The sequence below is a fragment of the Homo sapiens genome, chromosome 10 (genome assembly GCF_000001405.40).
Source record: "Homo sapiens chromosome 10, GRCh38.p14 Primary Assembly".
Classification (NCBI taxonomy): domain Eukaryota; kingdom Metazoa; phylum Chordata; class Mammalia; order Primates; family Hominidae; genus Homo; species Homo sapiens.
The window spans coordinates 7,505,650-7,529,901 of NC_000010.11; the positions used below are offsets into that span (position 1 = coordinate 7,505,650).

The 24,252-nt window shown below is 44.9% G+C and overlaps 1 annotated feature.

The window, feature by feature from the left end:
- Positions 7,082 to 7,191: a silencer, noted in NCBI's record as "silent region_2113". NCBI's record gives its function as "represses an Ori minimal core promoter by ATAC-STARR-seq in GM12878 lymphoblastoid cells {active_cell/tissue: GM12878}" and the evidence as "EXISTENCE:reporter gene assay evidence [ECO:0000049][PMID:35858748]".

Consider the following 24,252-nt stretch of genomic DNA (forward strand, 5'->3'; position numbering starts at 1 on the left):
ACAGGGCACTTGATCCTTGTTTCTGATCCTTGCTAGGGGGAGGGGAAAGGCTCTGGTCCTCAGCTGGTGGTTGCTCTCTTCCCCTCCTTCCCCTTCTTCTCTCCGGACATCTTTTCTCCCCCTTTCCTTTTTTTCTTCTTGTCTGTACCAGATGTCCATGACAAATCACGCCCAGGCTGTGTTTATTTTCACAAATAGGCATCACTCATCTGACCATCCCAAATAGGTTCATTTTTCTTTGCATTATCCTTACAATGATAACCAGTTTAAATCCCCAGGAAGAAAGGACGTCTGAGGGGTTATCCTTCCCTTAGTGACGGAGAGCTTACAAGGCATCTGCTTCTCTAGGAGCCTCATCATCAAACTTCCTCTGTGATCATCATACAGTTTCATAGAACAGATCCTGCAGGAGGAAGGTTTAGCTCAGCAACATCCCTTTCAACTCACAAAGACGGGCTACAGAGAAGGAGAGGCTGTGCCTAGCAGGGGAAATTGTGCGTCCTAAGGCCGGGGGTCCACGGCTGAGCCTGGAATCAGGACATGGACCATGAAAGGTTTGCAGGCCATGGGAAAGGGAGTGGTTCCTGTCCTAAGGGCAACATAAAGCCACTGGAGTATTTTAAGCAAGGAAACAGCATGACTACCTCTGTATTTCATAAAGGTCCTGCTGGCCAATGTGATCATGGAGAGATGGGAGGAAAGCTGGGGTGTTGGGGGGAGACCAGGAGTCTTGCTTGCATGGAGCTAAGAGCAGTGGACCTGGGGACAAGAGAATGGATTAAAACATGGTCCAGAGATAGGACAGGCAGGCTTTTGGTCAATTGGATGAGGGTGCTGAAGTAGACACAGCAACCATGAATGACTTCCAGGTCTCTGGCTTAGGCAGATTAACTGGTGGTGCCATTTGCTGAGATATGGAACATGAAAAGAAGGACAGATTTGGGGAAGAGAAGGGATGAGTAGATATTGCACTTGTGCAGTTGAGGGGTCTGTGGGACATCCCACCAGAAGTAACTGGTCGGCAGCTGGAGCGAGAGTGTGGGGTTCATGAGAGAGCTGGGATGGTCCCTAAAGCTCTGGTATTGATGAGTTCTGAGTGTGTGTGGGATGAAAAGAGTTACTTATTAATAGATAGGCCCTGGAGGAGGTCAATATTTAACAGATGGACAGAGAGGCAGGAAGGCCTACATGGGTTACCAAACATGAGCATCTGGGGGGCTTAGGGGGCTAAAATCCCACGCAGGGGTATTATCTCTGAAACCAAGGGAAAATCATGTTTTGACAAGAAAAGTAAGTTGAACAAATTTGACTGAGAGGAAAGGTAAGACAAGGACTGAAAGTGATGAAGTGGTTGTTTATAACCTGGACAAGAGGCTCATGCCTGTAATCCCAGCACTTTGGGAGGTGGAGGCAGGCAGATCACCTGAGGTCAGGAATTCAAGACCAGCTTGGCCAATGTGGTGAAACCCAACTCTACTAAAAATACAAAAATTAGCTGGGAATGGTACCACGCACCTGTAATCCCAGCTACTCAGAAGGCTGAGGCAGGAGAATCGCTTGAATTTAGGATGCAGAGGTTGCAGTGAGCTGAGACTGCTCCACTGCACTCCAGCCTGGGCAACAGAGTGAGACTCCATCTCAAAACAAACAAACAAACAAAATAATAATAACCTGGGCAAGAGAAGTTTCATTGAGGTGGAGGGGCAGATGTTGGGGGATTTGGGATGGGGGCCAGATTGTGGCAGACTAAGAAGGATGTAGCAGGAGCAGCCCATGCAAATTGTGACTTCAAAGTGGAGCAGAGACTCCAGAAAGTAGATAGAAGATGAAGTTGGGTTGAGGGAGATTTAAAAAAAAAAAAAAATAGAGGCTGGGCACGGTGGCTCATGCCTGTAATCCCAGCACTTTGAGAGGCTAAGGCAGGAAGATCCTTTGAGCACAGGAGTTCGAGACCAGCCTGGGCAACATGGTAAAACCCCGTCTCTAAAAAAATACAAAAATTAGCTCGGTGTGGTGGTGCATGCGTGTGGTCCCAGCTACTCGGGAGGCTGAGGCAGGAGGATTGCTTGAGCCAAGGAGTTTGAGGCTGCAGTGAGTCAAGATGGCGCCACTGCACTCCAGCCTGGGCTACAGAATGAGACCCTGCCAAAAAAAAAAAAAAAAAAAAAAAGAACATTTTAACTTGAACATTTTAAAAGATAATGGAAAGATGCTGGGAGATGAAAGATGTGAAGTTCAGAAGAGAGGCCCTTCTCGATGAGGCAGAAGGTGCAGGTGGACGGCTTCCTCAGAGGGGGTGGGACACCTTGTCTGTCGTCACAGAAAGGAAGAAGGAAATAGGAGGGATGCAGCTGCAAGCCTGGGTGTTGTTCCGTGGCAGGAAGTCGAGGGGGCTCGGGGCCTTTATTTACTCTGGAAAATAGAAATCAAGACAGTCACCCAAGAGCAGGGAGGCTGTGGCCTGGCTGGAGCCCTGTGGCGGGAAGGAGAGGCCCAGGATGTGGCTGGAGGCCTGTGGAGGGAAGGAGAGGCCCAGGATGTGGCTGGAGGCCTGTGGAGGGAAGGAGAGGCCCAGGATGTGGCTGGAGGCCTGTGGGGGGAAGGAGAGGCCCAGGATGTGGCTGGAGGCCTGTGGTGGGAAGGAGAGGCCCAGGATGTAGCTGGAGGCCTGTGGAGGGAGAGAGGGGCCCGGGGCATGGCTGGGGGCCTGTGGAGGGAAAGAAGGGGCCCAGGGTGTGGCTGGAGCCCTGTGGAGGGGAAGAGGGGGCCGAGGCCTGGCTGGAGGCCTGTGGAGGGAGAGAGAGGCCCGGGGCATGGCTGGAGCCCTGTGGAGGGAGAGAGAGGCTTGGGGCATGGCTGGAGGCCTGTGGAGGGAGAGCAAGCTGAGCGTGGATGCAGGCACTGAGGAGGAAGCCTCCACCAGACTGCACAGCCAGGCTCTTCTGCAGCGCCCTTAGCCCTCCAGGCAGGAGCAGGTAGAAAGAAGGCTCCATCACGGGGTCCTGTGTGACAGGGAAACAAAGGGCCAGGGAGAGGTGCAGAGGGTAGTGGAAGTGGCTGATGATGGAAGCTATGCTGGAAGTGGAAGGAAACCAGGATAGGAAGGAACTCAGAAATAAGAAGAAAGCAAAGGTCTCAGAAGATGGCAGGTCCCACTGAAGCTGAAGAACCAACTGTGGAGGCTGGCGAGAGTGCAGCCAATAAGATCTGAGGGAAGAGACAAAGATCAGAAAAATGCATGTGAGAGTGGAGGGAGGGAGTAAAGGAAAGTGAGTGCCCAGAGGTGCAGACTGTCACGTCATGTGAGTTACTGGCCTTCATTTTGGATTTGCACTTCTCCATGGTCAAGGGGTTTATGTGGTTGAAATGTCTAGCCAACCACGACAAAATGCACAAGTTACTGCAGAAGAGAGGCTTATTTTTCTGGTCCTGGAGTTAAAGACTTTCTGCCGTGGCCTCCCAGTGAGAGACTCCAGGCCCCGTGGTGGACAGGGTCCCATCCACACTGCAACATTGAAGTCATAGCCAGGTGGTTTTTAAACAAATCTTTATTAAAGCTCCTCTATGTAGTTTAATCCATAGAAAAAATTCCTTTGAATTGATTTTCATTCGCCTTTTACAGATGGGCAAACAGGCTCAGAGAGGTTAAAAACTTGGCAGGCTGGTGAATGGCAGCTTGAGAATTAAACACAGACCTTGTGCCCACAGGTTTACAGCTCTGTCCGTTGCTGCTCCCTCAAGGCCTTCAATCAATGATTCGTTCAGCCTCTATATTTTTATGATTATTACTTAAAAATAGACCTTATTTTTAGAGCAGCTTTATGTTCACAGCAAAATTGAGAAGAGGGTACAGAGATTTTCCCTATACCTCCTCCCTCCACATATGCACAGCCTCCTCCAACTATCAACGTCCCTACCAGGGTGGCACATTTTTTACAATTAATGAACCTACATTGGCACATCACCATCACCCAAAGGCCAGTTTGCACTATGATTCACTCTTGGTGTTGTAAATCCTATGGGTTTGGACAAATGTCTAAGGACATGTATCCCCCATTATGGTATCACACACAGTGGTTTCACTGCCCTGAAAATCCTCTCCCTATTCATCCCTCCTCCTCACCAACTGATATGGTTTGGCTGTGTTCCCACCCAAATCTCACCCTGAGTTGCAATAATCCCCACGCATCAAGGGCAGGCCTGGTAGAGATAACTGAATCATGGGGGCAGTTTCCCCAACAGTCTTCTCATGGTAGTGAACAAGTCTTATGAGATCTGATTGTTTTATAAATGGGAGTTCCCCTGCACAAGCTCTCTCTTGCCTGCCACCATGTAAGATGTGACTTTGCTCCTCCTTTGCCTTATGCCATGATGGTGAGGCCTACCCAGCAATGTGGAACCATGAGTCCGTTAAACCTCTGTCCTTTATAAATTACACAGTCTCAGGTATGTCTTTATTAGCAGCATGAGAACAGACTAACACACCAGCTCCTGGCAACCCCTGATCTTTTTACTGTCTCCATAGTTTTGCCTTTTCCAGAATGTCGTATAGTTGGATTCATATGGCATATAGCTTTTTCAGATGAGCTTCTTTCACTTAGTAATATGTATTTAAGTTTCCTTCATGTCTTTTCATGGCTTGATAGTTCATTCCTTTTTTAGCACTGAATCATATTCCACTGTCTGGATGTTCCATAGTTTATTTATCCATGCACTTACAGAAGGACATCTTGATTGCTTCCAAGTTTGGCAATTATGAATAAAGCTGCCATAAACATTGGTGTGCATGGTTTTGTATGGACATAGATTTTCAACTCCTTGGGGTAAATAGTGTAAGAGTTGAAGAAAGAAGAAACACAGAAAGTGGCTCAATAGTCAAAGACAGATTTATTTTGGAGAATAAACCTGAGAAGGGCTTCTGGCCAATTTCAGTTAGGAGTGCTCTCTCTTACAGACTAAGGGTATTTAAGGGCTTTAGGGAGGGGGAGCTTATCACAGGCTCAGAATGTTTCTGTATGAAGGAGAGTTTTATTGTAGGTTTGGAATGTCTCTGGTTGGAGTTGGGGTTATCTCAGGGTTGGCATGTTTCTGGTCGGAGCAGGTTTTCTAAGGGTTGAAATGTTTCTGTTCATGCTGACATTAGCCATCAGGCTGATGTTTTGGGGCTGGATTTAGGGGAACTTAAAATGGCAGTGTTTGTCCAAGATGGCGATGCTCCTGATGTGTCAAATAGGAAGGGGCACAATTGCTGGATCCCATGGTAACTGTATATTTAGCTTGGTGAGAAACTGCCAAACTGTCTCCAAAGTGGCTGCACCATTTTGCATTCCCAGCAGCAGTGAATGAGAGTTCCTGTTGCTCCACCTCCTCACCAGCAATTTATGTTGTCAGTGCTCTGGATTTTGGCCATTCTAACAGGTATAATATAATAGTGTGTAGTGGGAACTCACTGTTGTTTAATATGTATTTCCATGATGATATATGAGGAGGAGCATCTTTTCATATGTTTCTTTGCCATCTGTGTGCTTTCTTTGGTGAGGTGTCTGTTCAGATATTTTGTCCATTTTTAACCAGGTTTTTTATTCTCTTATAGTTGAATTATAAGAATTCTTTGTATATTTTGGATAATGATTCTTTATTAGATGTGACTTTTGCTATGTTTTCTCCCAGTCTGTGGCTTGTCTTCTCATTCTTTTGACAGTGTCTTTCTCAAAGTACAAGTTTTAGTTCTAATGAAATTCAGCTTCTCAGTTACTTCTTTCATAGATCATGCCTTTGGTGTTATATCTAAAATGTCATCACCAAACCCAAGGTCATCTAGATTTTCTCCTATTTTTTATGGTTTTGCTTTTACATTTAGGGTCTATGATCCATTTTGAATTACTTTCACACAGGATGTATGGTCTGTGTCTATATTCTTTTTCTAAAAAACATGTGGATGTCCAGTTTTTCCTGTAACATTTACTGAAAAGACTAGTGCAGTGTTCTGATTTTTTAAATACCTTTTTCCAGAAGACTTCCTTCACTTTAGTCAAGAAAGGACATAACACCAACACACAGTTCCGGAAAAGCTGTTTTCTGCAGATAAGGCTAAACGGCATGATCTAATTATGTCTGATGTTCTGGGTCTGTCCTGGGATAAAATCTAGAGTATTGGTTCCCCAGACTGTACCACTGATTAAAATCATCTGGCACACGTCACTCCTGGCTCTGCTTCTGTGTTCTGCCTCTTCGCCGTGTTTCCAAGATCTACTCCTATTCCAAGGTCTTGAACACCATCTACTCACTCCTCAGTGACTTCAGCTGCACATAGACGCCTAGGACAGTGCTTGCCTTTATCACTCACATAGTATAGAATGTTTCATGATACTTGAAGCACAAACTCCTCTCTCTCCTACTGGAAAAGATAACTATCTCTCCCACTCAACTATGTTTCTTGGTGGCAGGGACAATATCATTAATTCTTTGTATTCAATACAATTCTTAGTACAGAACACACACCTTAATACAGCAGTCCCCAACCTTTTTGGCACCAGGGACTGGTTTTGTGGAAGACAATTTTTCCACAGACAGTGGAGGGGAGATGGTTTCGGGATGATTCAAGTGCTTTACATTTATTGTGCACTTTATTTCTACTGTTATTACCTTGTAATATATATAATGAAATAATCATACAACTCATCATCATGTAGAATCAGTGGGAGCCCTGAGCTTGTTTTCCTGCAACTAGACAGTCCCATCTGGGGGTGATGGGAGACAGCAACAGATCAACAGGCATTAGATTCTCATAAGGAGTGCACAACCTAGACCACTCACATGTGCAGTTCACAAATAGGGTTTGCTCTTGTGTGGGAATCTAATGCTCCTGCTGATTAGGCAGGAGGTGCAGGTGGACAGCTTCCTCAGAGGGATAAGGGCAACTTGTCCGTTGTCACAGAAAGGAAGAAAGAAATAGGAGGGACGCAGCTGCAAGCCCGTGTGTTGTTCCATGGCAGGAAGTCGAAGAGGGTCTCAGGGACAGGAGGTGGAGCTCAGGCGGTAACATGAGCCATGGGGAGTGGCTGTAAATACAGATGAAGCTCACTCCCCACTCACCTCCTGCTGGGTGGCTCAGTTCCTAACAGGCCACCTGTCCGCTAGTGGTTCATGGTTCAGGAGTTGGGGACCCCTGCCTTAATACATGCTTGTTAGTTAATTGATTGATTGGGAAAGTTCTCGTGAAAAAGAATGAGTGAGAAGCTGCTGACCTGTGAAAACCTTTGTACTAACATGATCTTTTAAATACCACAAAGGAAACTGTGACTTTATCAAAGCAATTAAATCCAAATTCTTTTTCTTGGTAAATGTGTTACTTTGCAAATGTCAAATGTGCAACCAGGAGGTTGTCAAACAAAAATGTGTTTGCTGCAATGTATATTTAGTGTGTATATATACACATGTATGCATATTTATGTGCTTGTATATGTATATACATGTTTGTATATGTATATACATATATTTATATATGTATATACATGTTTGTATATGTATATACATATATTTGTATATACATGTTTGTATATGTATATACATATATTTATATATGTATATATATTTATATATGTATGCATGTGTGTAGACTAGAAAAATATTAATCCTTGCAATTTTTCATTTATAAATCATTACCCTAGTAATTACCCTAGTAATGATTTATAAATTAGTCCAATTTTCAAAGTTAAATATGTGAACTTAATGGGTACCATTCATTTACTCACAAATATTGAATGAGGTTAGTACAAGGCTGGCATGGACCCTCTTCTCAAGACCCATTTAAAGGATGTTGCTATCATAGAAATGTATTTGGAAGTCATTAATACAAAATCAAAAGAAAGCCTTTGAAGTGTATTTTTTGTCTATTCAGAAAACCTGTCTGACAATTTTTTAAAATGCACACGTCCCATCCTCACGAGGTTATTTTCCCTTCTGGCCTAGCCCAGCACTGTTTGTTTAGTGTTACGCATATCCCTGGACTATTTAACACAGCTCCTGCTCAGTATAATGTCTTGTTTCCTGTGTGCAGATAAATGCACCACTTTTTAACAACATGTTGTAGCATTAGAGATTGCCAGCTTCAACAATGTAAGTTTTTTTTTTTCCCCATGTAGCCAGGAACTGGATCAATAAAGTAAAAGTATAATGACTTTCCCTGCTTTATTTTAGTAGGTTATGTGATACTATTTGCTTTTTCAGTGTTAGTCAATATTGGTGTCTCCAGGGAGGAGGAGCTGATATCTCTTCCCTAAATCCATTTCTCCACAATCTTAAATTAAAAGGATAAGACAAAGCCAAGACAAAGGACATGGACTGGTGCTGCGGATTTTTTAAGTGGTTCTCAAACAAATGATAGGTCTGCCTAATTTCCAGCATGGTAATGTCCTTTGCGATGACTGGGAGCTGTGGGGAGCTTACCTCCTATCTGGTGCTCCTGGCTGTGTGGCTGATCAGGGCTGGGCTTTGAAGAGGAGTAACGCAGGGTCTATCTTGTAGAGGGCAACGTGGCCACAGGGCTCCACTGAGACCCTGCAACTCCTCCTTGCTGACAGCTCAGGAACAGATTTGAAAGCTCAGGCACAATAAATTCCAGTGCATTCTCAGGCAGGAGAAAAAAAGGAAATTCTGCTCACATCCTGGTTTTCTCTTTAATAAACCCTGTAACAAGTTTATTACATTGTGGGGACGACAAACGTTTCCTTTCCCCCGTTTAGAAAACTTCTGCTCTTTCCCTCTTTTCCTCTCTCCTGGTTTCTACAATGCTGATGTCAGAGGGTGAAGACCCTCAAAGGAAAATTTGGAGTTGCCTGGTAATGATTGAGAAAATGAGATTCCACGTGAAAGAATTACCCTCTCATCCTGTTTCTTTGGGCTTCTAGGCTTAAGTGTGGGTGGGCTCTTCAGCCTCCAGGTGGGACTGCGTTCACCTTCACCACAACAACAGCCTTCAAGAATGCTTGTCAAGTGACTTCTCATCAACAATTACAAATCAAAGGGTTTTCCAGCAGGCATTAGCTGTATTTTTGTATGAATAAACCTCATGCTGTGACCATGGTCCTTGTCTGCGCTCTCATTTTGTGTATGGGGAGACTGAGGCACAAGCAAATATACTTTTTGATGAACTTAGTCTCTAGAATTCACTGCTGCTGGCTCCTGCCCCAGACTGGATCTGGCATCTCTGTGAAAGCAATATAGAAAGTGGGGCCACCTGGCCGGGCACAGTGGCTCACACCTGTAATCCCAGCACTTTGGGAGGCAGAGGTGGGAGGATCACTTGAAGTCAAGAGTTCAAGACCAGCCTGGCCAATATGGTGAAACTCTGTTTCTACTAAAAACACAAAAATTAGCTGGGCATGGTGGCACGTGCCCATAATCTCAGCTACTCGGGAGGCTGAGGCAAGAGAATCATTTGAACCTGGGAGGTGGAGGCTGCAGTGAGCCAAGATTATGCCTCTGCACTCCAGCCTGGGTGACAGAATCAGAGTCCATCAAAAAAAAGAAAGAAAGAAAAGAAAGAAAGGAAAGAAAGAAAAAAGAAAGAAAGAAAGAAAAGAAAGAAAAAGAAAGAAAGAAAGAAGAAAAGAAAGAAGGGCCACCCTAGATTTCAGTTCCAGCCCTGACATTAAGTGGATGCATAACCTTGAGCATTCCTTCCACTTCACTTGCCTCTTCTGTACAAAAAGAAGAGGTTGAATTCGATGGGTCGGGCTTCGGAGTGTTAACATTGTCTGATTTCTAGTTTCCTTTCCCTCAGGACAAATGGCATAAATTTAAACACACAGTTGGCAATGGATATGGAAATAAGATACATTTTCCAAAATGCTATAATTTGTAATGGGAAAATATGAGGGCTGAGTAGATGTATAAGGAAAACTGTAGGAGTCACCAATAAAATCCAGCTCTTGAAAGCGTTCCCCACCAGCTCATCGTCTTTCACGGCATTCCCATTTGGGAAATATCACTCTCTCTTTCTTGCTCCCTAGAAGTGAAATGAGGGCGGAAGAGGACTGTTTGCTGAAAGCTCATTTTTAGCTCCAGGGTTTCCAGTCTTTCAAGCTGCTGTTTCCAAAACATTAAACACAAAGCAGTAAATGTGGAGCAGCTTTCTTTACCATGTTGATGAGACAGAAACGCTACTCATTTGTTCTGCTTCAGAAATCAAAGTATTGTATCCACCCAGAGATGGAAATTCTGCACCGAGGTCCTAAAATAAATTAACTAAATACAATTAATTTTACTTTAAATAAAATCTTATCTCTCCTTATTTGTGCTCAACTCCTGATGAATTTTAAATGACAGAATGAAATGTGGATTTATTTACTACCTTCTTTCTGGATATTTCTAGGTTAACATTTCTTTTTTCTTTTCTTTCTTTTCTTTTCTTTTTTCTTTTTTTTTTTTTTTTTTGAGACAGAGTCTTGCTCTGTCACCCAGGCTGGAGTGCAGTGACCCAATCTGGGCTCACTGCAACCTCCACCTCCTGGGTTCAAGAGATTTCTGCTGCCTCAGCCTCCCGAGTAGCAAGTAGCTGGGACTACAGGCATATGCCACCACCATGCCCAACTATTGTGTGTGTGTGTGTGTGTGTGTGTGTGTGTGTGTGTGTGTGTATTTGGTAAAGATGGGGTTTCTCCATGTTGGACAAGCTGGTCTCGAACTTCTGGCCTCAAGTGATCCACCCACCTCAGCCTCCCAGAGTGCTGAGATTACAGGTGTGAGCCACCACACCCGGCCTCTAGGTTAACATTTCTTAACCTGAGGTTTATGGACTTTACCTAGAGAGCTTATTATTTTTTCTGAATGGTATAACATAGTTTTTTAATCCTTTGAGGAGAGTTAAAAAGACTTCTTGTATATGTCTATAACCTGGGCAGAAATTTCAATTTTCTTGTCTTTTTTTTTTTTTTCAAATGGTGTCTCACTCTGTCTCCCAGGCTGGAGTGCAGTGTCACAATCTCAGCTCACTGCAACCTCTGTCCCCCGGGTTTAAACAATTTCTCTGCCTCAGCCTCCCGAGTAGGTGGGATTACAGGCGTCCTCCACCACACCCGGCTAATTTTTGTACTTTTAGTTGAGTCAGGGTTTCACCATGTTGGCCAGGCTGGTCTCAAACTCTTGACCTCAAGTGATCCGCCCACCTTGGCCTCCCAAAGTGCTGGGATTACAGGCGTGAGCCACTACATCTGGCAGAAATTTCAATTTTTTTAAGTAAATTTTAAGAAATCCTATTCTTCAAGGAGATCGTGACTTGAAAAGCCCAGGAATCACTATCACTATTCTAGGTATTAATTTATGGGATGTGACTTGTTGAGAATATAGGATTTCTTTTTTTCTCCCATCTTAGCTAAATTACTTGAATTGGACTAAGGTCTTCATTTGAACTCCTACATGCCTAGGCTTCAAAAACATCCACATTTCTGAAATGTCAGCTTTGTAAAGTTTTGATTGGAGCTTTTGCCAGTCTCAGGAAATTCTTTGTGCTTTTGTACTAATAATCTCTTGTGACCTATTTGGTAAAATGTTAACATGCTACATTTATTGGTCTTTTTTTTTAAAAAAAAAATCCCTTTGTAAAATGAAGTTGTACAAGACTGTGAACATCCTGGGGCCTTGAACCTCTCCTTTTTGGATTAAATGTCTTTTGAGAACATAGTTCTATGTTTCTTCTTTTTTTCTTTACCAAGCAAACAAACAAAAATATTATAAACCCTCTTTTCTGCTATACAACTGAGCCACCAAATCATGCCACTCTTGTGCAATATTTAAAACCTTGTTTTTCTCCCTCCCTCTCCCTTTCTGTTCACCACTTCTGTTTTGTTTTTTGTTTTTTTGTTTTGTTTTGTTTGAGACAGAGTTTCCCTCTTGTCACCCAAGCTGGAGTGCAATGGTGCAATCTTGGCTCACTGCAACATCTGCCTCCCAGGTTCAAGCGATTCTCCTGCCTCAGCCTCCCGAGTAGCTGGCACGCACCACCACGCCCAGCTAATTTTTGTATTTTTAGTAGAGACGGGGTTTCACCATGTTGGCCAGGCTGGTCTTGAACTCCTGACCTCAAGTGATCCGCCCACCTCGGCCTCCCAAAGTGCTGAGATTATAGGCCTGAGCCACAATACCTGGCCCTGTTCACCAGTTTTGAATTTTTACTGAGGTTAAGTGTACGAAATGTTGCCTCTAGGAAGAACATTGACAGAAATTGAGTAAATATAGAGTTTTAATGAAATAATCCGATCTGTACAGAACACAATTTATAATCCATCCCAAGAAGTTTCGTCTTCTACTAGCCACAAAATTAGTCGTACTTCATGTAACTGCATTGGTCATTTCAGGCAACACCCTCTAAACGGACACCGTGTGTGTACTGGGATCTACCATAAGGATCTAGATGAAATAAATCAGGTCTTTTTGTATAAGTTATATTGATGGAAACTTCAATTCCATTTAATTTATGTATTCGTGGGGAAGCTCCTGAATGATCAACACTGCAGAAAGTACCGAAGAGCCAATGTGGGAAATTGGACCCCGTGGACTGTCAGTCTCATCGGGTAGATGAGATGCATACCTGTGAAACACCAAGGAAATACTACGTGGAAGATACACTTCAGTTTTAAAACACACCCCATGTAATTCAAGAGGAAGTCAGAAGATGACAGAATTGGAGACACTGACATCGTTGAAGACAGAATTCTAAAAATACATCTGGATGAGGTCCAAGGGGGCAGAGAAAGCCCTGGAAGCCGGGACAACAGCATAGCAAAGGCTCTCCTGGGATCGCACAATGCTGCACCGGAAGGGAAGGCATGAAAGCACCTGGGAGAGAGGGAGAAAGCACAGGGGGGTGTGAGTAGATAGACCTGGGCTGAGCCTCAGCCTTGATGGCACTACAGCTGTGAGAGAAAGAGGGTGACACAGGTGGACCTCCAGAACGAGTGAGGAGCCCCCTGAACTGCAGTTGCCTCCAGAGTCAAGCAGTGCCCATGGCACGAATGATTGGCAGAAGACGTGGACAGGTACCGTGGAAGAGGGAAGTAGAAAAGAGGAAAGGATCAGGAGATGAGAAAGGGAAAAAGAAGAGAAAGAGAGAGGGAGGGAGGAAGGGAGGGAAAAGCAGTGGCCTGCGTGGTAGCTCATGCCTGTAATCCCAACACTGTGGAAGCCTGAGGAGGGAGGATCACCTGAGCCCAAGAAGTTTGAGGCTGCAGTGAGTCATAATTGCATTAATGCACTCCAGCCTGGGCAACAGAGCAAGACCCCATCTCTAAAAAAAAAGAATTAATTAAATCATAAAAATTATATGCAACAAAACTGAATAACCTCCTTTGCCTAACTACTTACCTGTGACAAGGGCTTCACAGAAACAACCCAACTTGGTGGCATTTCTTTTCCTTTTCTCTTTTTTCTTTTTCTTTTTTTTTTTTTTTTTTGAGACAGAATCTCACTCAGTTGCCCAGGCTGGCATGCAGTGGTGCAATCTTGGCTCACTGCAACTTCTGACTCCCAGGTTCAAGTGATTCTCATGCCTCAGCCTCCTGAGTAGCTGGGATTACAGGCGCGCGCCACCATACCTGGCTAATTTTTATATTTTTAGTAGAGACGGGGTTTCAGCATGTTGCCCAGGCTGGTCATGAACTCCTGACTTCAAGTGATCCACCCGCCTTGGCCTCCCAAAGTGCTGGGATTACAGGTGTGAGTCACCTCGCCTGGCTGGAGACTTTAACTTTTTAACATTTTTCTTTTCATAAAAAATGATTCAGTAAGTAGTTTCCCAGGTAATAAATACAGTCATACATTGCTTAATGATGGGGAAACATTCTGAGAAATGCATCGTCAGGCGATTTTGTTGCTGCAAGAATGCTGTAGAATGAACTCACACAAACCTAGATGGTACAGCCTCCTACACACCTAGGCTAGAGGGCATAGCCTATTGCTCCCAGACTACAAATCTATACAGCATGTGGCCGTACTGAATACTGCAGGCATTGTAACACAATGGTAAGTATTTGTGTAGCTAAGCATAGAACAGGTACAGTAAAAATATGGTGTTATAATCCTACGGGACTGCCATCGTTTATGCTGCCCATCACTAGCTAAGACATCACTATGCAGTGCCTGCCTGTACAGCCTCACAGAGATCCTTCGATTCTCTTAACCGGCCTCCTGCTGGGACCGAGGGCTCCCTGACATAGATGAACATCTTCACTTACCTATAATTATTCAGAAGATTACCAATAAACACATGAGTTAAAAGAAATTGAAGGCCGGGCGCGGTGGCTCACGCCTGTAATCCCAGCACTTTGGGAGGCCGAGGCGGGCGGATCACAAGGTCAGGAGATCGAGACCATCCTGGCTAACACGGTGAAACCCTGTCTGTACTAAAAATACAAAAAAATTAGCTGGGCGTGGTGGCGGGCGCCTGTAGTCCCAGCTACTCAGGAGGCTGAGGCAGGAGAATGGCGTGAACCCGGGAGGCGGAGCTTGCAGCAAGCGGAGATCGCGCCACTGCACTCCAGCCTGGGTGACAGAGGGACACTCCGTGTCAAAAAAAAAATGAAAGAAAGAAATTGATGTTTGGCCGGGCTCAGTGGCTCAGGCCTGTAATCCCAGCACTTTGGGAGCCCGAGGCAGGCAGATCATGAGGTCAAGAGATCGAGACCATCCTGGCCAAAATGGTGAAACACCGTCTCTACCAAAAATGCAAAAATTAGCTGGGTGTGGTGGCACGCCCGAGTAGTCCCAGCTACTCAGGAGGCTGAGGCAGGAGAATCACTGGAACCCGGGAGGCGGAGGTTGCAGTGAGCTGGTATCACACCACTGCACTCCAGCCTGGTGACAGAGTGACACTCATCTCCCCAAAAAAAAAAAAAAAAAGAAAAAGAAAAAGAAAGAAATTGAAGTGCCCATCAATATAGTTTGTGTGGGATGACCTTGATTTTTCTCATGTGACTTCCCTCCTTTGATCCCAGTCCACGCTGAAAGTCCAGTTAGAAGGGTGTGATCCCAAATGGCTTGGGTCGTGGGAGGCCCCACCCTGCCGAAAGGTCCCCTGCAGCCTCTCAGAGTCTGATTCCCGGGACCAAGCCAAGCAGCTCAACACATGTCCTATTAAGCAGTTAATTATTTCTCTTTGATACTGGCTTTTTTATCTTTTAATACAACAGTTTTACTGTCTCTGATAATTACCCTGTCTCAGATAACTCTTTTAAATCTAATGAGGCGTGGCAAGCCCTGCTTAACCAGGCGACACATCATTAACTTCTGCCTCCTTATTTGTCATCGTACCACACTCAATGACTGTATCAACAGCCAGATGTGAAACCCATAGCTTGCCACTGGCAACGCTGTGGGAGGTGACCTGCTGTCAGGTCAGTTAGCCCTGGGTCTTCCAGGGGCCACTCACAGCCCTGTGAAATCTCCTGCCCATGGGCCGGGTGGAGGCCCCTCCAATGTCACTCAGCTCCCCACTCACCTACCAACAAGACCTGTGGGCCCGGACCTCTGTTTTCTCCACCCTACACCCAGGAGGCTATGATATTTTGTCTCCAAAGTCCCTGATGGAGAAGCAGTGAGAAGGGGTGCCAGGAGCACTGAGTTACTCAACAGACTTTGAGCCAGTCTAGCTAAGCTGTTCACCACCTGTGTGGCTTTGGGAAAACCACTTCACCCCTCTGAACCTTCTTCCTTCCTTCCTTCCTTCCTTCCTTCCTTCCTTCCTTCCTTCCTTCCTTCCTTCCTTCCTTTCTCTCTCTCTCTCGCTTCCTTCCTTCTTTCCTGCCTTCCTTCTTCTTTCTTCCTTCTTTTCTCTTTCTCTCTCTTCCTTCCTTCCTTTCTTTCCTTCCTTCTTTTCCCTTCCTTCCTTCCTCCCTCCCTCCCTCCCTTCCTTCTTTCTTTGTTTCTTTTTTTGACAGGGTCTTGTTCTGTCGCCCAGGCTGAAGTGCAATGGCATGATCTCAGCTCACTGCAGCCTCCACCTCCCAGGCTCAAGCAATTCTCCTGCCTCAGCCTCCTGAGTAGCTGGGACTACAGGTGCACACCACCATACCTGGCTAATTTTTGTATTTTTAGTAGAGACAGGGTTTCACCATGTTGGCCAAGCTGGTCTCAAACTCCTGGCCTCAAGCAATGCACCCACTTTGGCCTCCCAAAGTGCTGGGATTACAGGTGTGAGCCACCGCACCCAGCCCTGAGCTTATTTATTTATCCAAAACAATGACAACAACATATTCCTCCCTCAAGAGGCTGCTTAAGAGAATCATAACACCTTTCTGGAGTTGTACAGTCACACACCACATAACAACATCTCAGCGATGGACCGCATATATGATGGTGGTCCCATAATATTATAATACTGGGTTTTTACTATCCTTTTTCTATGCTTAGATATGTTTAGATATGCAAACAGTCGCCACAGTGCCCCAATTGCCTGCAGGATTCCACACAGTCACATGCCATGAAGGTTAAACGAGATAATTGCTATCTATGATACCAAGCCACGTTACTCTGGAAGAAAACATAGAATAATTTCTTTTAGTCCACTTTGGGGATGAGTTAAGGTATAAATAAGCATAGAGTGAAGGCACTATGGAGAGTCTGTTTCTTTAGGTCTCCTCTCTCGCTCATATTTTATTTAACCCCGTGTAACCCTGTAAGTGCTTACACTGTCACTCGCAAGTCATTTTGTGAGTCTCGGGGTTTATTTTTTAGCATCTACCCAATGTTCTAGGCAGGTTGCTCAATGGCCTGTGAGTTAGGGATGATCTCTGCCCGTTGGGAGCTTATACTCTGATGCGGGAGAGAGCCACAACGGAGCACTCACGGAAGGTTGACAATACCACGACTTTACGCAAAGCCGTTCACCACCTGTGTGGCTTTAGGAAAACCACTTCACTCCCCTGAACCTGTTTCTTTATCCAGAACAATTTGCTTTGGATTGCTTTTCACGTCTGTATTCCCACCGCCCAGGGCACCGCCTGGCACATCCACATCAGGTCAAGTTCAAAGTGCTAAATACGTACACATGGTGGGCTTCATCATGAGTGAGTGTGATGACAGGAGGAGGAGAGTCCTCAAACGGGGTGCCCTTCTGAGATCACCATGTGCATGGCGGGACGTGCAGAAAATGTGGTGCCAAAAGATTTAGTGGGAGCTCTAACTCCCTCACCTGTGAGCATGGCCACCTAAGCCAAGGCACAGAGCTGTGACTTATCATTAACACGGGGCAGTGATGCCTTCTCACAGGGCCCAGGCAAACATAAATGGAATATCTGAGCATAGTAAACTCTAATTATTGTTGGAAATATTATTACTGATTTTGGTCACTTCTTGGGCTGTGGGCCACCAAGGGAATGACTTAGGATAGAAAGGAGTGTTTTAAAATTAGATTTGCTCTGTCTGGAGGATTAAGATCACTGCAGTTTCACACGGGGAACCATCTCTCTCTCTCTCTACCATCTTTTCCTACCCACATTCTTACTTTGCAGCCGAGCTGGTAGCTAAGTCTGTTTCTGTAAATGAGCTTCAGAGGCTCCGGGAAACTTTCCATTTTATCAGGACTGCTGCTACGGTTTTGGAATTAATCTCAAACACATAACTTTAATAGAAGGTCAGTTTTAATCTGAGCACATAAATCTCTTATTTTTGCAAGATACAGATTGAGTTGCCACATGTTTTCCAGGTTATCATCTCATGAGTTCAATTAGTTTACAATAAACAGTAACAAACTATATTTCTGTGCCTTACAAGCTGGGAAGACCACTGGACTATCACTGTCAAACTCCCCTCCGGAGCCCAAAGCAGACGGCCATGGGGAGAGGGATATGGATGGGACGGGGTGCTTTGTAAAACGTCAAAAACGATAGGCAGTCTCCACATTGCTACCCCTTTACCGCCAGAAAAACCACATCTGTTTTCCTCACTGCTGCTTAGAGCACCCAAACTTTGTCAATGGGGTGCTTCTTGTCTGCTCTCTATGACCTGGAAGTTTCTTTCTCCCATAAGTGAAAAAAGTGAGAGCTGAGAGAACCAGCCCCATGAGCTGCAGGTCCTGCTGGACTCCACGTTCACAACTTTACATTGGAAACTGTAGAGTTATGACTCGTGTGTGATTTCCTGATGATCATGCTCTGGTCCCAAGACAGTCCCACAAGAGAGCTGGGCTAGAAGCCAAACTGAGGGGAGCTGCCCTCACCCAAGAGGTGCACCTTGGGTGCCCTCTGCCGAGACACCCAAGAATTCAGTCTGCCTAAGACAGTAAGCTCCCTGAGGGCAGGAACCACATCTGCCTTGTTCTCTTTTATATCCATGGTACTGAGTGCAGCACCCTGCACAAAGCAACACCTAGCAAGTATTTAAGGGGTGAATGAATGAATGCCTAGCGGCCCCTCACCTGAGTACCCTCCCATCCAGAGCTGGGGAAACTCCGGTCAGAACGCTCTTTAGAAGGCTGACTCATGAGGGACCCTCACCCCTTAGGCTGAGTGAGGCGTCTGTTCTTCCTGTAGGGCCACCCCAGCAGTCTCATCATGTCCATCATATGTCACTATCAAATTATTATGTTCAAAGGCAAAACCCCGTCTCTACAAAAATTACAAAAGTTAGCCGGGCATGGTGGTGCATGCCTGTAATCCCAGCTACTTGGGAGGCTGAGGCAAAAGAATCGTTTGAACCCAGGAGGTGGAGGTTGCAGTGAGCTGAGATCATGCCACTGCACCCCAGCCTGAGCAACAGAGACTCTGTCTCAAAACAACAAACAACAAAAATTCTTATGTTCATTCACAGATCCATTATTTCAACAAAACTAACTGAATATGTGCCATGTGCCAGCAGTATTCTTCTTTTGAAAATACATAACACAGTTGGGAGTGGTGGCTCACACCTGTAATCCCAGCACTTTGGGAGGCTGAGGCAGGTGGATCACTTGAGGCCAGGAGTTCAAGACCAGCCTGACCAACACAGCAAAACCCCGTTTCTACTAAAAGTATAAAAATTAGCCAGGTGCGGTGGTGCACACCCGTAGTCCCAGCTACTTGGGAAGCTGAGACATGAGAATCTCTTGAACCCAGGAGGTGGAGTTTGCAGTGAGCCAAGATTGTGCTACTGCACTCCAGCCTGGGTGACAGAGTGAGACTCTGTCTCAAAATAATAATAATAATAATAGTACATTAACATGACCCAACTTTCAAAATTAGATAAGAAGGTGTGAAATGAAATGTCTTCCCCACTGGTAGCCATCGTTATTAGATTTTGAACAAAACAGTAGGCTCAACTCACCCTGTCTATCCCATCCAGGTTACAAAATTGTTCCATTTTTCCCAACTCCTACAATGCATTTTCATGATTGGGAACGAATCTGGTCTCTTCCTTTACTCATATGTAATAATTCATGCCATTTACGGAATAGTGGAGTCAAATCAAGTGAATTCGCAGTGGGCAGGTGGGTGTCTGTCCCAGGCTGACCTGCTTGCTTTCACAGCACCTTCAGTGCAACCCTACAGTTGCTGATCCCGAGTGCACCTGCGTTCCTGCTGGTCCGGGAGCTGATCAGGTGGATTCACTAATTTGGGCTTACGTCTGAAGTACACGCACCTTCTGCGATCTCCGTTCTCCCTTATTCCCAGCAGGAATTGCTGAGAAAATGAGGAGTGGCTGCTTTGTAATTTTCTGACAAATGAATGAAGTTTAAACATCTGCTGGAGATGTATCATGTGATCTTCATGAGTGACAGCTGTCTTTTATAGAGAGGGGAGGGAAATATAGATGACGCAATAGAAAGTAGCTCTACAAATAAGCGAAATGGGAAATCTGCTGACGGTGAAAATATACATTCATCAGTGTTATCTCACAGCATGAGATAATCCATCAGCCCTTCTTTCTGTTGGCTTTTTCTTTTTCCTTGTGTTGAGGGGGACTATGACAATAACCCAGTAGATGGCGCTCATTGTCCGTTTATCTGCCATTGTGTGGCTCTGTCACTAGGTTGAGCTCAATTTTAAGATTTGAGAGCTAGAGGGCAAGATTTCCTTAGAAATGACACCGATTTAAGGGAAAAAATTAAAAATTTAAAAAAAAAAACGCTTTTAAAAATCTCTTTGAGAAGACTATGTCTATGAAGGTCCCAAACTTCAAGTTGCAAATCTCAGCTTGTAGCAAGGAAATCAGAGATGTGAGGGAGCTTTGCCACCAAACGTGGCCGTGACTTTCTGAAGGTGAGCACTAGGAACCACGGGGAGAGTGACTCGTGGAAAACCCTCCGCAATTCTCATCGAACTCTGCTGTTCCCCGGAAAATGCGTCTCAGGTCTGCGGGCTTTATTTGTGGTCTATTGCTCTCCATGAAATGAGGATTCCGGTTGTTGGGCATTTCAGGTGGAAGCACAGAAGAGACGCCGCTCCTGTGCGTCTGGGAAGATCCCGTCTGTCATCTGGAAGTCATAAAAGCCACTTTCGGAAACACAGATGTCACTTTTGGGGAACGGTCGTCATGTTTCAAGGCCCTTCCTTGGGTTTGAACTGGGAGGGCCAGAGTCGGCCCAGGGAATGGTGATTGGCACATGGAGGTGTCCTGGCAGCGGTGGCCGCCAAGGGGCGGTCGGCCCTCCTGTCCCCGCCACCCTCAGCCCCGCTGCTGGGCCCTTCCAGGCCTTTCTCCCAGCTCCCTGCGTCGCCTCAACCTCCTGCTCTCACCCGCTTTGTGACTCCAACCAGAACAGCCCGTCACTTCATTTCTTAAGAGTCTTCCTTTTGTGCCTTTCACATTTTCCTCTAAAATTTAAACTAACGATTTGTGTGTGGGGTGTATACATTGTGTGTGGGTGTATATATTATGTGGGGGAGTATATATTGTGTGGGGTGTATATATTGTGGGGAGTGTGTATATTGTGTGGGGTGTATACATTGTGGGGGGTGTATATATTTTGGGGGATGTATATATTGTGTGGCGGATGTGTATATTGTGGGAGGATGTATATATTGTGGAAGGATGTATATATTGTGTGGGGGATGTATATAGTGTGGGATATTGTGTAGAGGGAGATTATATATCGTATGTGATGTATATATTGTTTAGGGTGTATATATTGTGAGGGATGTATATATTGTGGAGGGTGTGTATATTGTGTGGGGGAGTGTATATATTTTGGGAGGATGTATATATTGTGTGGAGGGGGATGTATACATTGTGTGGGATGTATATAATGTGGAGGGTGTATATGTTATGGAAGAGTGTATATATTGTGTGGAGGAGTGTATATATTGTGGGAGGATGTATATATTGTGTGGAAGGGGATGTATATATTGTGGGGGTTGTTTATGTTGTGGGGGATGTATAGGGAACAGTTACCTCAGATTCGCAGAGAATGGAGCCTGTCCCCATGTGCTGTGACTTGCCAGAGTCCCCAGTGCCTGTGACCACCTCTGACCCTGGAAGTGAGGGTCAGAGGAGGTCACAGAGGCCAAGGAAGGGTGCTCCCTCGTGCTGTCACCAGGCTGATGAGATGCAGGTGACAACTTTCCCCAGACCACCCTGATGTGTGTCCACTTCCATTAAAATCAATGTTATGATGGTGTTGGCACTTGGCTCCTGGAAAGGTGACACCAAGGCTCTGAAGATGAAAAGCCACACGAGCACACCCCGCCCCTTCCTCGGTGGCCTCCAGAAACTCTCTCGCAGCACTCCCCACTTTCTGCTATTTAGGGGCCTTTACAATACTTGTTACATTCATTGGGCAGACATGGCCCACATTTTCTAAGAATGCTCATTCAGGTTGCTTCCAGAACTGGCTTAGCTTTTTTAAGTTGAAGAGGAGGGAAGGGTTTGGGGAGGTAGGAAAGGGTGTGTGTGGCCTCTGAGATATGGGCTGGAGTTTTATTTAACAAAACAGATGATAGCAAGACAGATGAGACTAGATAGATGGACTAGATAGATAGATGAAAATAGAAGATAGATGATTGATAGATGATAGATGACTGATAGGTAGCTGACAGATAATAAAAGATAGATGATTGATAGATGCTAGAAGAGAGATATGTAGATAGATGATTGATAGGTAGATGACAGGTAGAAAAATTAACTGAGCTCATTTTCTAATGTGACCTCATGTTGAATTTTTTAATTTCTGAACAAAAGAGTCCTCCCATCAAAGTAGCCTATGTTCCTTGACAACCCATTGCCGGGCAGAGCATTCTTGGGGATACTCAACTTGCCCCTCAAGGGGTCCCTGGAAATGGGGATGCACACAGCATCCCATGTGTATATCTATAGAAGAGGATATAGATAGATACATAGATAGATAGATATGGATAGAGGAATAGCTAGACTTTATATTCCAGTTTATTGTTCATAAAGGTAATCCAAAGAAAGGCAAGCATCATTTATTAGTTTACCTCGTAGAGAAATCCCAGGCGAGCCATTTGCCTATTTTTGGTAAAATGAGCTTATTGCTTCCTCCTGTAGTCTGAGGTAGCTCACCCTGGTGCTGCGGGAATGTGGAAACCTGGGACCCGGGGAGACGGTGGCTGCTGTGGGAGCCGTGGTCTTTCCCTCTAAACTGTGGCAACAAGTCAGGGAACAAGGAATTTAGAGACAGAACCGAAGACAGTATTTATTCTGCCTGTAAGTGGCAGAATCTGTCTTCAGACAACTCCTGGGGACGCTGTGTGTGTCCCCATTTCCAGGGACCCCTTGAGGGGCAAGTTGAGCATCCCCAAGAGCCATCTGCCTGGCAATAGGCTGTGGAGGGACACAGACTACTTTGATGGGAGGACTCATTTGTTCGGAAATTAAAATACTCAACGTGCGGTCAAGTTAGAAAATGGGCTCATTAAATTTTTCCAGCGATCTTAGACCCATCCAGTGATGAGTGCATCCCTAAGGTCTGCAGACTTGTCCTGAATACGCCACTTTAAAAACAATACCGATTAATTAAGACTAGGTCCACTTAGCCCTTCTGCTTTTTGAAAAGGATCCTCCAAATAACAAATTTGTTGTGTTATGGATTGGTTTAGAGACAACAGGCTCACTTGATTACAATGCCACGCTTCAGATATTTTTACTGAAACCGATCAGGCCTCCGAGAGAGTCTCGGTAACAAGGAAGGCTCTGGAAATGCCCCCGGGGGGGTGAAATGGAGCTCCCTTCAAAGGTTTTGGTCTTGTGATTAATAACAGGAAGAAAAAGACTCTACAAAAGCACAGGCTCTAGGTTCCGAGCTTTCTCTTTTGCATCCCTGTCCGTGACTTTTCCCTCCTCAATAAATCTGAAAACGCTGCTGTGGGATTCTGATTTTTTCTTTTCCTTCTCTTCCAGCAAAACATCTTAAGGAACCAAAGGAAGAAAGACAACGTCCTTGGAGAATCTGGTTAGATTTTTATCACTTTCATTCAATATGTGGAATGGAAGAAGAAAGATTTTACCAGTTTCTAGGTTTTTTGTCCAATGATAACTTGTACTCATACTTTTTACTCCTGAATATTCCAAATATGACACACGGTGGAGGATAATTCTTCTTAGTTTATAAAATAGCCTTTAGCACAAAATAAATTGTTCTTTTTCCTGTTATACACCACACATGAAAGTCAAATGAGATAAATCTAATATGTACAAAAAGCATAAAACTATTCCAGAAATGCTTAATTTTCTTTAACTTTGGCTTATTTTTAAAACACCATTGGTTGAGGTACATAAATTTTGTCCAGATTTCTAGTTTATCCACTGTGCTGCTTAGTCTGAAGATGTTTCTAAAATTCTCTCTGTCTTAATTTTCTCATTTTGTGGACATAAATTGGCATTACTTATGATCAAAGTTACCATAAAAATCATAAAAATATAAATATTACAATTTAATATCTCCATTGAAGTCACTGGGGCAGACAAAAATCATAACATGTAGGTCAGCGGTCCCCAACTTTTTTGGCACCAGGGAGGGACCAGTTTCTTGGGAGACAATTTTTCCAGTGACCTGGGGGCATGGGGGAGGGGGAGGAGAGGGAAAGGGAGGAGGGTGGTAGGAGGTGGGGGGGATGGCTTCGGGATGAAACTGTTCCACCTCAAATCATCAGGCATTAGGTTCTCATAAGGAGCACGCAACTTAGATCCTTTACAATAGGTTCGGCACTCCTATGAGGATGCAGTGCCAATGCCGATCTGACAGGAGGGGGAGCTCAGGCGTAATTAATTGCTGGCTTGCCAGCTGCTCATCCTTGCTGGGCAGCCCAGTTCCTAACAGGCCCCGGA